Raw genomic sequence first — 15,569 nt, 5'->3', positions numbered from 1 at the left:
AAAGTGCAATGGCCCGGTCTCGGCTCACTGCAACCTCTGCCTCCTGGGTTCAAGCGATTCTCCTGCCTCAGCCTCCCAAGTAGCTTACAGGCACCCACCACCACACCTGACTAATTTTTGTATGTTTAGTAGAGATGATGTTTCACCATGTAGGTCAGGCTAGTCTCGAACTCCTGACCTCAGGCAATCCACCCAACTTGGCCTCCCCATAGTGCTGGGATTACAGGTGTGAGCCAGAAAAATCTCTTTTTTAAAGGAAGGCCAGCTCAGCTGGCATGCTTTCTTTTCTCCTTCCTATTACTTCTACCAAACCAAACCTACAATACTTGAGGTGAATTAGGTAATTATGAGTTGACAAACACATATTGAGAATGGCTGAACAAGAAAACAGAGAAAGCTTAATGTTCCTGATGACATTATGAAGTACACAGTGGACAGATGAGGCCTGGACTGACTACCTCAGACATATGTGATAAAAATAACCCTCGTTTTTCAGGTGAACCCTTGTTATTCCCAGATGAATGCAACTCTCAATTGATTCATCCACAAAGAAAATGTTGACTTTTAGTCTGACAAGGGACAACCAGCTGGTAGAAAACAGAATAATTTGATACATAGATATCAGAAGAATTAATGATCTGATTTAAAAGTGTTTTGAGATCCTTGGATTTAAAGTGTTATATATCATGGAGAAGACATAATGTTAAGGGCTATATAAACATTTCCCTTAATTTTATTTCAATAAATTTCTACCTTGGGCAAGTTTATTTAACCCTAGTTCTCAGTTTACTCATTTTTTAAAAATTAGAGACAGATGGGGTCTTGCTATGTTGCCCAGGCTGGAGGGCCGTGGCTATTCACAGGTGCCATCCCACTACTGATCAGCATGGGAATTTTGACCTGCTCCATTTCCAGCCTGGACCAGTTCAGCCCTCCTTAGGCAACCTGGTAGTTCCCTGTCCCGAGAGGTTACCATATTAATGCCAAACTTAGTGCAGACACCCACTTGGCATAGCACACTATAGCCCAGAACTCTTGTGCTCAATCAGTTCTCCTGTCTCAGCCTTCTGAGTACCTGAGACTAAAAGTGCACACCACTATGCCTGTCCATTTACTCGTTTTTAATACTAGAGAAGTGCACTCAACTATTTCTAAGATTCCTTACAGAGAAAACTATTAACATGCTGTACACATTGGCTTATCATGAAAAAACAATGATGATGACAACCTAACCTGCTCCTGAATGCATAATTCCTCATAATCTTGTGAATACAAGTGAGCCATAAATGTTCATGATACAAACTTTAGTATGTAAGAATCATATTCTCCCTAAGAGTTAGAGGAACAGTTTACGAAGATATGTAGTAATAGATGCAGTACTGAGAATTCACATGAAAGTGCTGAATGGAGTCACTAAAAGAACATGGACTCCAGTCTTTATTTTTGCTTTTCTAGATAGATTGTGCTTTTATTAAAAGAATGATCAAAAGTACCATACAAATACAACACAGGATATAGTGAAAGTTCCCTTATCCAACACTGATATTGTGATTGGTGAAGGGAAAAAGTCAATTTAAACAGAGAAATTTAAAAATGATACATACATATCTTTAATTTTAAATTTTAACTTAAACTACAAATGTATTTCATTTGCCAACAAAATATCTGTAAATTTCTACTCACTTTTTCGAGACTTTTGCAGTTGTTTTGCTTATACTTAATTTGCCAGTAATTTCTTTAGTGACTGACTTTTGTTTCATATTTCACTGGTTTACCTATTTAATTAATTAATTTCAATAACAAGTTTAATTGGTATAAGCAGGTTTGAGAAAAAGGCAACTGACTTCAGTAGCATAAAACTTGTAGTAGGAGCAGAGGTTCACAAATGTATCAGAGGGAATTCTACTAGTTTTGAGCTACAAGCATGTGTTAAAGAACAAGAGCCAGACATGGTGATTTGTACCTGTAGTCCAACTACAAGGGAGGCTGAGGCAAGAGAATCACTAGAGCCCAGGAGTTCGAGGCTGCAGTGAGCTGTGATCATGCCATTGCACCCAAGCCTGGGCGACAGAACAAGACCCTATCTCTAAAAAGAAAAAGTAAAGAAAGAAGGAACAAGGAGCATCAGTTAATCTGGCAAATTAAGTAGATGTAACGAGAACTCCTTATGTGCCTATCATCAGTGATAGATATTGCATAATAAGATGTTAAACTATTTTATTCACACTTTCTTTTAGAACATCGGTCTTTGGAGATTAGTGAACTGAATATTAAAATGACATTCTCACTAACGTCCCCTTTTATCCTTCCCATTTTCCTGTGAGCAAATTCCTGCCTTACATGATACTTTGTTGATGGTCTCCCTGACATCTTCCTTTATGCCTGTGTCTCCCTTGAATCCCGGTTCCTATAGTCATCACAAGGTTGGGAAACCTGTCCCTAACCCCCAATTCCCACAGGTGGGCCAACAATAAGCATCGTCATACTTACCCAGCATTCTGCCTCTGAATTCAGATCCAGGTTCTTGTTCCATGTTGCTTTGTGACCCTGGACTATGTTAATTCATGTTACTTAGTTTCCATTTCTTTTTCTGAAAAAGTAGGAACACTTAGCTTACAGGCGTGTTAGATTAAATGACCATGGGGAAGCTCTGACACAAGTAGACAGTGAAGTGTCCGTTTTCTTTAACGCCATTTCCTTAATACCAGTAATATTTTGCCTTTGCCTGTTACTTCCCATCACATTCCTGACACAGCGCTCTGAACCCTCACAGGCATGCTTGTTGAATCTCCTAGAGGTTGACCACCTGCTTGCCAGCGTGGCATCTCAGCCCATCAAGAGTCCAGATGACTTGCTTGCTTGTCCATATTATTCCCATAGCTACCAAAGCAATCTCCCTGAAGAACTTGGCTGGGTCTTTAGTCTCACTGGTTAGTGTGGGCAGCTGTCCACTTCTCACAGCTCCCTCTGCATACATCCTCTCCACTTCTGATTTCCTCTATAATTGTCATTCAACACACATTAAACATTTACTAAATACTGGTTATATTAGGGTTCTCCAGAGAAACAAAAGCAATGAAAGATAGATCTATCTATCGATCTATCTATCTATCTATCTATCTATCTATCTATCTATCTATCTGTCTGAGATTTATTATACGGAATTGACTCACATGATCATCGAGACTAAATCCCAAGATTTGAAGTTGAAAAACTGGAGACCAGGAGAGTCAGTGGCATAGTTCTAGACTCCCCTGAAGGCCTGAGAACCAGGAGAGCAGATGGTAAAGTTCCAATCTGAAGGCAAGTAGGCTCAAGACCTGAGAAGAGCCAGTATTACAGTTTGAGCCTGAAAAACACCAATGTTCCAGCTCAAAGGCAGTCAGGCAGAAGGAACTCTCTCTTACTTAGCCTTTTTGTTCTATTTAGCCCTCAACTGATTGCGTGAGGTCCACCCACATTAGGGATGGCAGTTTGCTTTACTCAGTCTATAGATTCAAATGTTAATTTCATCCAGAAACACCCTCATAGACAGACCAAGAATAATGTTTGAGCAAATACCTGGGTATCCTGTGATCCAGTCAAGTTGACACATAAAATTAACCATCACACTGGGAATTGTGCTAGTTACTTTGCTTGTATTCTTGTTATTATTTCTGGTCTCAGAGAAGTCATTGCTCCATCTTTCACATCCTAATGACCCCATCTATGAAGCTGACCCTGTCCTCTCCTGCTCCAGAGACCTGCCATACCAATTATACCTTTCTCACAGCCTCAGTTTTTCCTTGCTCTTTTTCTACCTAAAAACATATTAGAGTTTTTCCTTTATCTTTTTTTGTGCAAAAAGAGAAGTTATATATTCTCTGACTTCATTCACTACAACTCCTAGTGATCTAATTTACCTTATTTCTTCTGTATCTATATTCCACTAAAAAGACGTATAGGCCAGGAGTGGTGGCTCATGCCTGTAATCCCAGCACTTTGGGAGGCCGAGGCGGGCGGATCACAAGGTCAGGAGATCGAGACCATCCTGGCTAACACCGTGAAACCCCGTCTCTACTAAAAAAAATACAAAAAAATTGGCCAGGCGTGATGGCAGGCACCTGTAGTCCCAGCTACGTGGGAGGCTAAGGCAGGAGAATGGCGTGAACCCGGGAGGTGGAGCTTGCAGTGAGTGGAGATGCGCCACTGCACTCCAGCCTGGGAGACAGAGTGAGACTCCGTCTCAAAAAAAAAAAAAAAAAAAAAAAAAAAGACTTATAGAAGACAACAATGGCTTTCTTAATCTAACATCTTAGTCTTTGCTTCATTTGATGTTTTGGTAATTTTTTAAAAAACCTACTTGCTTTTCTAAGAGCAAAAGATAAATTTTTTTTTCTCTTTGCTTTGAGAAGTCAGGTCCCTGGTTCTATACCCTCTTCTCTAATAATTTATAAAGTTCCTCTTTCTTGTCCTTTTCTCTTGGGTAAATGCTCCTCATAGTATTTGGAACTCTTTTTTTTTTTTTTTTTTTTTTTTTTTTTGGCATTTATCAAATCCCACTCCATGTTTTAGTTATTTCAATAGTACAGGCTCAAAAGGGAAACACCTGGACTTTGGTAAACTCTATCAGAAAGATTTTCCTGGTTAAAATGTAGTAACATATACATGCAAGCTTTAAGTGACTGGTTCAGATATCTAATAATTCTCTATGAAGGCTTAAGTAATTTGCAAAGCTATTAAAAATTTCTAGCTGAAACGCTCTTTCTCAAAAACTTTTATAAACTGTTTTCTCATGGAGAATACTGCAAATATAAACTAAACTTTCCAGGTGAACAATCTGGCCATATGTATAAAGAGCTCTAAAAATGCATTAATAAATTCCCATTCTTGACATTTATCCTAAGGAACTGGAGATGCCTTAAGTCATCCCTGACTCCTTTTTCTCAAACCCCACACTAAGCCAATAAAAACCCATTTCTCACCACCTTTACTGTTATCCCCACTGTCTAAAAGCCAACATCATTGCCCACCTGGATTACAGCAATAACCTCCTGACTTTCCCTGTTTCTACCCTCTATAGTTTACTTTCACAGAATAGCCAAAATGGTCAGATAGCCCTCTGTGCAAAACCCTCCAATGCTTTCCTATCTCTGGGCATAGAGGCCAAATTCCACTTAGCATCAGAAGTTCCTCTTGGATTTCTTCACCTCCTACAGCTTTCCTATGAACTCTGCTTCAGCTATTCTGGCCTGCTTGCTGCTGTTCCTTAAATATGCCAGATCCACTCCAAACTCAGGGTCTTTACATGCTTCTCTTTGCCTGGAATGTTTTCCTCCAATATCCATCTGGTTTGCTGCCTCACCACCTTCAGGTATTTGATCAAATGCCATTTTATCATTCTTTCCTGACCATCCTATTTAAAACTATAATCCCAAGGCCCCTACATCATCACTTCTTATTCCCCATCCCTGATTTAGTTTTCTCCAGAGCACTCATCACTATTTGATGTAATTTATAGTTTACATCCTTATTGTCTCTCTTTCCTCCTCCCCATGAGGGCAGGGACTTTGGACTGTTTGTTCACTAATGTATCTCCAACATTCAGAGCAGTAACTAGTGTTCAAAAAATAGTAGTTGAATTATTACAAATATCTATGTATAGGGCTGTTCAATGCAACATTATTTATAAAAGTAAAACATTTAGACATTAACAAAATGTCTTAACAGGAAAATAAATCACAATACATCTATGGGATAAATTATGCATTTATGAAAAAGTCATATTTTTACAAATTATTTAATGATATGAAAAATGCTCACCTTATGTTAAGTGGAAAAACACGAAAAAAAGAATAGATAATAAGACCCCAATTTTATTTAAAACATAAAGGAGGGAATACATACAAAAATGTTATTAGTGGCTATCTCTGGGTAGTGAGATTAGAAGTGATATTTGTTTTTCTCTATTTGTATTTTGCAAATTCTTGACAATAAGCTCTACTTTTAAATTCAAAAGACAGAAAATTGTAAAGCTTTGAGGGAAAAAATGCTTCCTCATTCAGCTTCTTTTTAATCCCCTCTAATCTGAATGAATTTCTCACTCCAATTAGAGATATAATTTGCACATATCTTTTGGCACTGATCATATTCTGCTAGTATTTTGTATCCTTATTTCCTCTATTAGGCCATATACTTTCTGAAGGCAAAAACCATGTCTTAATTAAAATTTTAGAGCCTACAAAACCTGTCTTTACATTCGATAATTAGCTGAAAGAAAATGTTTTAATCGCCAGGAATAATGTATAAATGTGTAGTATTAGTTGCTTAGGGAAGCCATCGAGTTATGTAATTTTCCTAAAATGATCTGATGTCCCTCATGACCATTTTGAAAATACTTAGGTTTAAAGCTATATTGTTAATAGAATGATGACTACAGCATAAGCATTTTTAGGGTTTGCCCCATCTTCCTGTTGCCTTTATTTACATATATTTTATTAGTTGTTGGTATATTATATTAAAACTTTTGATTCTGTAGTAAATTTGGAAATGATAGTAGATTTCAGGACATATTGTTAGTTAGGTTAAGCTGGCATAACAAATAGACCATGGCACAAATGGTTCCAAAACATAATGGCTCAAATACGACAGAAGTTTATTTCTTGCTTTAAGGGTGGATGTTCCTGGTTGGCTGACAGTTTTTCTCCATACATTTAGGGTCCCAGTGCCTTCTAATTTATGGCTCCCCAGGTTATACAGCATTGTTCACTGTATGCTATTTGTATTTACAAATCTCTGCTTCCAGCATGTTAGCTTATAAGCGTAGTGAGGGCATAGAATTGCCAGACTCAGCAAATAAAAACATAGGAAGCCCAGTTAAATTTGGATTTCAGGTTATCAACACATTTAGTGTACATTTTAGTATAAGTATATTCCAAATATCACATGGTATATTCAGTATAAGTATCACATAAACATATTTATACTAAAAATTATGTGTTTTTTATCTGAAATTCCAATTCAATTGAGTCCTGTGTTTTCTCTGGCAACCCTTTGAGGGTAGGGATTACATCTATCTCAGTTACGACTGAATCCCCAGAATCTAAAACAGTACCTGTCTACTATAAGATCAAGAAGTATCTCAATAATATTTAATGAACAACTGATTTTCTGTCAGAACCCTTATTGGCAAAGAATACTGATTAATACTAATTAATACTAATACTGCTATTAGTAAGGATTTGTATTAAGCATTAGTGAGGAATACATATTATTAATACTTGTTATTAATAAGAATACTTATTAAGTATCAGCAAAGAATATTTACCAACAGATAATACTTCAATATCAGCATAGCAAACTGCAAATGTTTACCTAAACTTCACGTCTTAGTCAGTTTGGGCTGCAATTACAGAATACCATAAAACTGGCCAGGCGTGGTGGCTCACGCCAGTAATCCTAGCACTTTGGGAGGCCAAGGCGGGTGGATCACTTGAGGTCAGGAGTTCGAAACCAGCCTCACCAACATGGTGAAACCCCGTCTTTACTAAAAAGACGAGAAAATTAGCTGGGCGTCATGGCAGGCACCTGTAATCCCAGCTACTTGGGAGGCTGAGGCAGGAGAACTGCTTGAACCTGGGAGGTGGAGGTTGCAGTGAGCCGAGATCGCGCCACTGCATTCTGGCCCAGATGACAGAGCGACACTCTGTCAAAAACAAAACAAAACAAAACAAAAAACCATAAACCAGATTGTTTATAAAAAACAGAAATTTCTCATACTTCTGGAGACTAGGAAGTCGAAGATCAAGGTGCCGGCAGATTTGCTGTCTGGTGAGGACCTGGTTTGTAGATGGTGCCTTCTTGCTCTGTCATCACATGATGTGACTGAGCTCCCCCAGGCCTCTTTTATAAAGGCACTAATCTCATTCATGAGGTCTCTGCCTAATCACCTCCCAAAGGTCCTGCCTCTTAATATCATCACCTTGGGGGTCAGGATTTGAACATATGAATTTTGATAGGACACAAACATTCAGACTACAGCACTCCAGTAAAATAAATAGATAAAATTGGGTTTTCCTGAGGTATCTGCACAGCTCTGTCCACTCTCTACTGAAACATCATTGACACCCTCAGTGACGCCTTTCCGTTCTCCATGTCTTAAACTCCAAACCTCCCTCTGCAGCACTTCATTTCCTTTCCCTGCTTTATTCTTCCTCTTTAACACTTAACGTGAATATACCACATATTATACTTGTCTACCTCTCCCACTAGAATGTAAACTTCATAAGGACAGGCATTATTTCCCGTTTTATTCATTCCTACATTCCCAGCTCCTACACACAGTAGACATTCAATAAATATTTGTTAAGCAAATGACTGAATAAACACCATTTGTCCTTTAGAAATGAGTTATACATCTTATTAGAATTTACAATTATCAGTAGCTTGATGATATTCACCTTATATGACACAAGATGGCTTTAATCACACAATATCATGATTCTGCCTGCATCAACTCAGTTCACCAAGTCCTGTCCATTCTATCATCACAATGTCTTTGATAATCCTCTTCTCACCTTCCCTGTTGCCACTTCCACAGTGCTTTTATGTGTTCTGTGGATTAATGCAGAAATTGTCAACTGGGCACTGTGGCTCACGCGGTGGCTCCCAGCACTTTGGGAGGCTGAGGGTGGGTCACTTGAGTCAAGGAGTTTGAGACCAGCCTGGGCAACATGGCAAAACCCTATCTCTACTAAAAACACAAAAATTAGCTGAGTGTGGTGGTGCATGCCTGTAATCCCAGCTACTTGGAAGGCTGAGACACAAGGATTGCTTGAACCTGGGAGGCAGAGGTTGTAGTGACCAGATTGTGCCACTGCACTCCAGCCTAGGCTACAGAATGAGATTCCATCTAAAAAAAAAAAAAAAAAGAAATTGTCTAACTCGTCTCCTTGCCCACTGTCTTCTCATTCTAATCCATTCTCCAAATCACTACTGAATTTATCTTTCTAAAATAAGAATCTGATTATTGGGTGTCTTAGTCTGTTTTGCATTGCTATAAAAGAATACCCAAGGCTGGGTAATTTATAAAGAAAAGAGGTTTAAGCTGGGTGCTGTGGCTCACGCCTGTAATCCCACCACTTTGGAAGGCTGAGGCGGGCAGATCACCTGAGGTAATGAGTTCTAGACCAGCCCGGCCAACATAGTGAAACCCTGTCTGTACTAAAAATACAAAATTAGCTGGGCATGGTGGCGGGTGCCTGTAATCCCAGCTACTTGGGAGGCTGAGGCAGGAGAATCACTTGAACCTGGGAGGTGGAGGTTGCAGTGAGCCAAGATAGCGCCATTGTACTTCAGCCTGGGCAACAGGGAGAGACTCTGTCTCAAAAAAAAAAAAAAAAAAGAAAAAAAAAGAAAAAGAGGTTTACTTGGCGCATGGTTCTGCAGGCTGTACAAGATGCATGCCTGGCATAAGACTCTGATTTTTTTTTCTTTTTTTGCTATTAATCTTGCCACATTATTTTCAATTACGTACAAAGATCTAACATGTCACCCTGGGACCATTTCACCCACTGCTCTGTTTGGCAGTCTTTTGTCTCTCTCTTCAGCAATGGTGAGGCGGATACCCTTTCCTCAGGGAAGAGAAATCCATAGTTTGTTGCCCTTGCCAATAACAAAAATGTTGGAAAGTTGAGTGGCAAAGCTGTTGCCATTGGCATCTTCCATGTGAACAATGTCAAAAGATCCAGGGTGCCTCTCTCTGTTGGTGATCACACCAATTCTTCCCAGGTTAGCACCTCCAGTCACCATACACAGGTGACCAGTGTCGAATTTGATGAAATCAGTAATCTTGCCAGTCTCCAAATCAATCTGAATGGTATCATTCACCTTGATAAGGGGATCAGTGTAGCGGATGGTGCGACCATCATGAGTCACCAGATGAGGGATTCCTTTTGTTCCCAGAAAGATTTTTCTCACTTTGCACAACTTGTACTTGGCCTCCTCAGGTGTAATATGATGTACAGCAAAGAGACTCTTGGTGTCATAGATCAGAGAGAAATTCTCTTCTGTCTTGTCAATGCTGATGGCCTCCATGAATCCAGCAGGGTAGGTTATATCAGTTTAGACCTTGCCATCAATTTTAATAAACCGCTGCATGCAAATCTTCTTTACTTCATCTCCTTCCAGGGCATACTTAAGTCTGTTCCTTAGGAAAATGATGAGGGGAAGACACTCTCAACTTGTGGGGACTGGTGGATGGACAAGGAGCAAACATACTGGTCAATTTATCCAGCATCCAGTGCTTTGGAGCTGCTACTCACTTCAGATGCTTCTTGGGACCACAAGCCATGGCTGCGTTAGGCAAGGAAAGAGCGAGCCTCTGCTTTTGGAAGCTTCCAATGATGGTGGAAGGGGAAAGAGAGTGGTATGTCAGATGACGAGAGAGGAAGCAAGAGGGAAACGGGAGAAAGGTCCCAGGCTCTTTTTAACAACCAGACCTTGCAGAAACAAAGAGTGAGAATTCACTCAATCCTCAGACAATGGCACCAAGCCATTCATGAGGGACTTGTCCCCGTAATCCAATCACCTCCCACCAGACCCCACCATCAATATTGGGGATCAGATTTCAACATGAGATTTGATATAGCCAAATTATATCATCAGGGTCACTCCCTGACCCCAAAACTTTGTCTATCACCCAAATAATAAGATTCAAAAATTTTTTAGTTGAGCACATGAAACTCTTCTTGACATGGCCCAGCATCCGGTCCTACCACTCTCCCACACATGTAGTTGCAGCTCGAAACTGCCCTTTCTTACCCATTCATGCATCCTCATGACTTCTGTCTGCCCAAATATCACTTCCTTTGTGAGAGTTAGGTGCTCTATCCTCAGTGCTCACAGTGCTCTTTGTACATTCTCCTAATAACACATATTTTAATAGCTGCCAGCAATAAATGATATTTTGCCAAATCTAAGATGTACATCTTTCCAATATTTCTAAAACTGGAATGGCATCTTACAATCATGGTGTCTTACAATGCTGTCACCAGAAGGTAGTTGTGATGTAGTTGTCTTAGCCTGAACATGTGCAAACTTCCTGGTTATTCCTGGTGGCATGATTAGACAACTGCAAACCCTTGACATTTCAGTCAACTAATCATTTAAAGAAAGGATTTAAATCCTGGTTGTGATCTGAAAACCCTTCATTGATACCTCTGAGTTGCAATAAGAAAGCACCAGCATTGAAACTCATAGAATGGACCCCAACAGCTTGCAAAAAAAACCCAAAGATAATAGTGGAATATTATTTTAAAAAATGTTGCATCACTAATGCTCTTAGCAGAATTCAATACAATGTGGAAAAATTCTATGTGTCATAGTTTAAGTAGCAGCATTTCCCTCCGGCCCCCTCCATGGTCCAAAAATAATGGTGTTTGTTACAACTCATGGTCTTAAAATTGATAAAATATGGTATGTTACCTCAAATTGTCAAACGAACCCTATAAGTCATCTTATTTTATGCCTGGGGTCTGCTGACATCATAATATTGTATTCTCATTATCTGTTATCTGTCTTGTCTTTCCACTAGATTATAAATTCTCTGAGGACCTAACACAGTGGCTGTCATATATTAGGTGTGGAATTAATATTAGTTGAAAGAATGACTGCAATGTTCATGTTCTTCTGCTGTTCCACTTTGATTCTAATTGTCAATCTGGATGTACCCCTTTTCAGGGCTGATCTTGAATTGTCTGAGACTTCAACTATTACTGTGAAACACCATTCATTGGAAAGATCTAATTTCTTCTTAATAGTCATCTCTACCAGCATTTTCTTTTGAGGGCTGATGTAACATTAGTATGACCAAAATTAAATTTCCTTAGATATGTATTAACTGATTACATTGGCTGGACAGTTTCGCATCTAATTTTTTTATGCTTATAACTTTTATATGTTATTTGATGTTCTCAACCTCTCCATATCGTTGACTAATGTGATCTCAAAGAGAGTAGTATAGCAGAGCGCTGAGGAAATGGTAAGACAGCTAAAAGAAACTTTGTTAGGTTACATATGAGGAACACTAAGTGTATCTGATTATTCTGCTCAGATGGCACATCTAGATATCATAAACCAAGTCATTGGCACATAATTATTTTTAAACTGTGTTACCCTGCTTAATTGGTTTAAAATAATTTAAAAGGGCTCTGGTTGGCTCTTACAAATGAATCTAATTCATCAGTTTTAATTCTGTTAGAATAGCTCCATTTCAACAATTTAGGTTATTATTTAAGCCAGGGTCACCATTCTTTCAAAAGTTTTCATATAATTTATTTATGCCCTTTTAAATTGGAGCAAGAGCATTAAGAAAACATTCCTTTAAAAGCAGCAGCAAAGATGAAGTTTTCTCCAATATACCTATTCTGACCATTGCCCTCCCAGAAAAATCTTCCCTAATTCTTTAGACTGTAACATTACAAGGCTCAGCACAGACTACTCTAACTAGTTTTCTCTCTAGCACTGCAAGAGCTCACTGTTTCTTCAGGTGAGTCTGGTGAAATACTTGTCTTGCATTTGGGGGCCACATTTTAGAAAAATAAGGCTGAATATAACCAGAATCTTTCTAGAATCACAGATAGAAGTTGAGTGAAGAAGAGATTCATGTTTTTCATCTTTTGCTCACTCCAGGGCCTAAGCTCACTAAGGGAAGAGCGGGAATCTCCAGCAGTATTTGGTTTTCTCTTTTTCTTTTTTGCAAAACATAGTTGAATTCATAAATATGCATATGATACAAATCCATTGTTAAATATATTGGTGATCACCCAGGGTTTTTTTTTTTTCCTCTAGTGTGCAGATTTATTTTAGGAGTTCTACTTAAAAATGCAGTTAACTCTAAAGTTTTGTGAATTTTTTAAGTTATTTACTGAGTACTACTAGATGCCAGGTACATACATTATTCTTATACATTAAGCATGTGGTTCCTAATCAGAATTATGTATAAGATTCACCTGAAGAACTTTAAAAAAAAAATGAAATGACCAAGGCCTATCTCAAATCTACTGAATTCCTTTCCTCTGGGGATGGGCACTTGGCACATTATTTTTTTAAGCCTTATGGGAGATGCCGATGTGCATTTCTTGGCTAATAACCACTGCTTTAGGCTATCATCCACCAATAGCTAAACTGTCAACCAGAGTCACTAATAATAAACTTGGCTTATTTCACAACTTTGTCTAGGGACTGCTTGTCAATGCTTCCTAGTTTCTGACTACCGCCTATGTATGTCCTCATTTCTTTCCTGGTCTGCCTCATCGCCTCACCTTCCACTATGTCTGGACTTCTGAACTGGACATGTAATCTCTGATCTCAGAAGTCATCATCATAAGCATAGGTTCTGATTATGGCTGGCTCACTGGACTTGGTTTTCCTTACCTTTGCATCTAACCCTATCTCTACTACATACTTTCACTTATGACCCTAGTATGACAACCTGCTAACACCATCGAGTCAGGGAAGAGCGAGCCATGATGGTGATGATGGCAGCAGCCCGTCTGAAGTGGCTGCTGCCCTGACGCTGGCTATAATCGGGGAGGCACGGCTACAGCCGCGGCGGTGCTCTATGGAGCCAGCAAGAGCTGGGAACAGGCAGAAGCCCTGCCCGCTTCCAAGTTGGAAGAGTGGGAGTCCTGCCCTCCTGAGTGCAGCTGCAGCCACCCAGTCATGGTTGTGGACCCATTCATCTCCGGACAAGTGGAGGGTAAGCAAGGCAAAGAGGTGCTTTGCTGAGCGACAGAACAGCTCAGAGGAGACCTGAGGGCAATGGGTAGCTTCTTTCTGCAGGCAAGTCATCCCAATAAGTGTCCAGCTCTTAGCAGAGAGGAGACCCACAGTGGGTAGTTCCTCTCAGCAGGCAAGTCATCCCGTCATCTTCTCAGCTCTCCACAGAGAGAAGACCCACTCTCAGGGGACCAGGAAGCTCCCTGCTCCCGCAGGCTTGGAAGTGCCTGCTCCCACTGCCTGGCCTCTCCCCGCTCCCAGCACCCGCTCTGATTTCAGAGCAAAGTTGTGACTAAGCCTGGGTGCTGTCACGACCCGACCAGGTGTGCACGTGCTTGGGGCAGCATTGACACGCAAGCCCCATGCTGCCTCAGTCCCCTCTGGACTTTGGGTGCTGATGAGCACAGGAGGGAGGCAGGCCGAGGCGGGAATAAGGACATCTCAGTGAAGGCCTGTAGGTACCACTTAGCATGAACAACCTGGGCGCCATGGGCACTGTGGATGGCAGGTTAATGGCAGCAGGATCCACACAGGCTCCTGGGCGGAAAGGGGTGGGTCCCCGGTAACGCCAGGGGTCAGGCTGCCAGTTCCATGCAACGGAGTGAGAACTTATGGTGCTTTCTCCAGGCCTGCCCATGGCTGCGCCATGGACCAATCAGCACACACTTCTTCCTCTCAGAAGCCCATAAAAACCCTGGAGTGAACCAGACTTGGGCAGACAATGAGATGACCTGCTTGCAGACAGGAGCTACCCACTGTGGGTCTATGGACACTGTGGGTCTCCTCTGTGGAGAGCTGAGCAGATGACAGGACCACCTGCCTGCTGAGAGGAACTACCCATTGTGGGTCTCCTCTCTGCTGAGAGCTGGACACTTATTGGGATGACCTGCCTGCAGAAAGAAGCTACTCATTGCCCTCAGGTCTCCTCTGAGCTGTTCTGTCACTCAACAAAGCACCTCTTTGCCTTGCTCACCCTCCACTTGTCCACATACCTCATTCTTCCTGGATGTGGGACAATAACTCGGGACCTGCCAAATGGCATGGCTGAAAGAGCTGTAACACAAACGGGCTGAAATATGCCCCTTGCTTGCCATGTTGTGGGCAACACAACAAGAGAAGAGAGAAGAAGAGAAGAAGAAAGGAAAGAGAAGGGGGAAGAGAGGAGAGAAGAGCTGTGGCCCTTTAGGAAGCCTAGACCTAGGAGCTCCCTGTGACAACCTCTTTGGGGCTCTGCAGCTCCTGGCATCTCCAAGCTTCCAGGTGCCACTGCATTCCCTGGTGCCAGCTGTGGAAGCTGCTTGCAGTACACCTGGACCAGCCACAGCCTTGCAAGGGGCCAGCCCCTAGAGCTGCCCGCCCTCCTGCAGCTGGCATGCCGGGCTGTATACAGTGGCCGGACCCCATGCTTGCTCGCTCACACACCCCTCGCTGCTCCGCACCTGGCTTGCACTTGGCAGGTGTGGGATCCAGGCCGTAGTATGAGCAGAGTGCAGCCTGCTGGGACTGGTGGGCAGAATGAGCCCGACCAAAATTCGGGCAGAGGTGCCATTTTTCCAGCTGGAAAAGTGACACTCCAAGGATCCTGTGACAATGGCTCCACTGAAAAATGATTTCGAATAACTGTAATAATAGGTAAGGTCATTGTGAACGCATGTTAATCTTCAGTAGTCTAGTTTGATTTCTTTCAAACATTGCTTCTACTTAGCAACGCAATTGAAAAATAAATCTCCAATTTATAGGGGAAAAAAAACCTCCATAGATTGGAATAAAGGCCCTCTACTGTCTAGATCTCACCTGTGTTTCTAGATCTT

General features: G+C 41.1%; 2 pseudogenes; both read right to left on the bottom strand.

Annotated features, from left to right (window-relative positions):
- RN7SL320P (RNA, 7SL, cytoplasmic 320, pseudogene) lies at window positions 811-1,105 on the bottom strand (annotated as a pseudogene).
- Window positions 9,478-10,353, bottom strand: RPS4XP16 (ribosomal protein S4X pseudogene 16; annotated as a pseudogene).

The sequence above is a fragment of the Homo sapiens genome, chromosome 13, assembly GCF_000001405.40.
Source record: "Homo sapiens chromosome 13, GRCh38.p14 Primary Assembly".
NCBI lineage: Eukaryota > Metazoa > Chordata > Mammalia > Primates > Hominidae > Homo > Homo sapiens.
The sequence above is the reverse complement of the archived record's forward strand: the minus strand, read 5'-3'. Positions and strand labels throughout refer to the sequence as shown.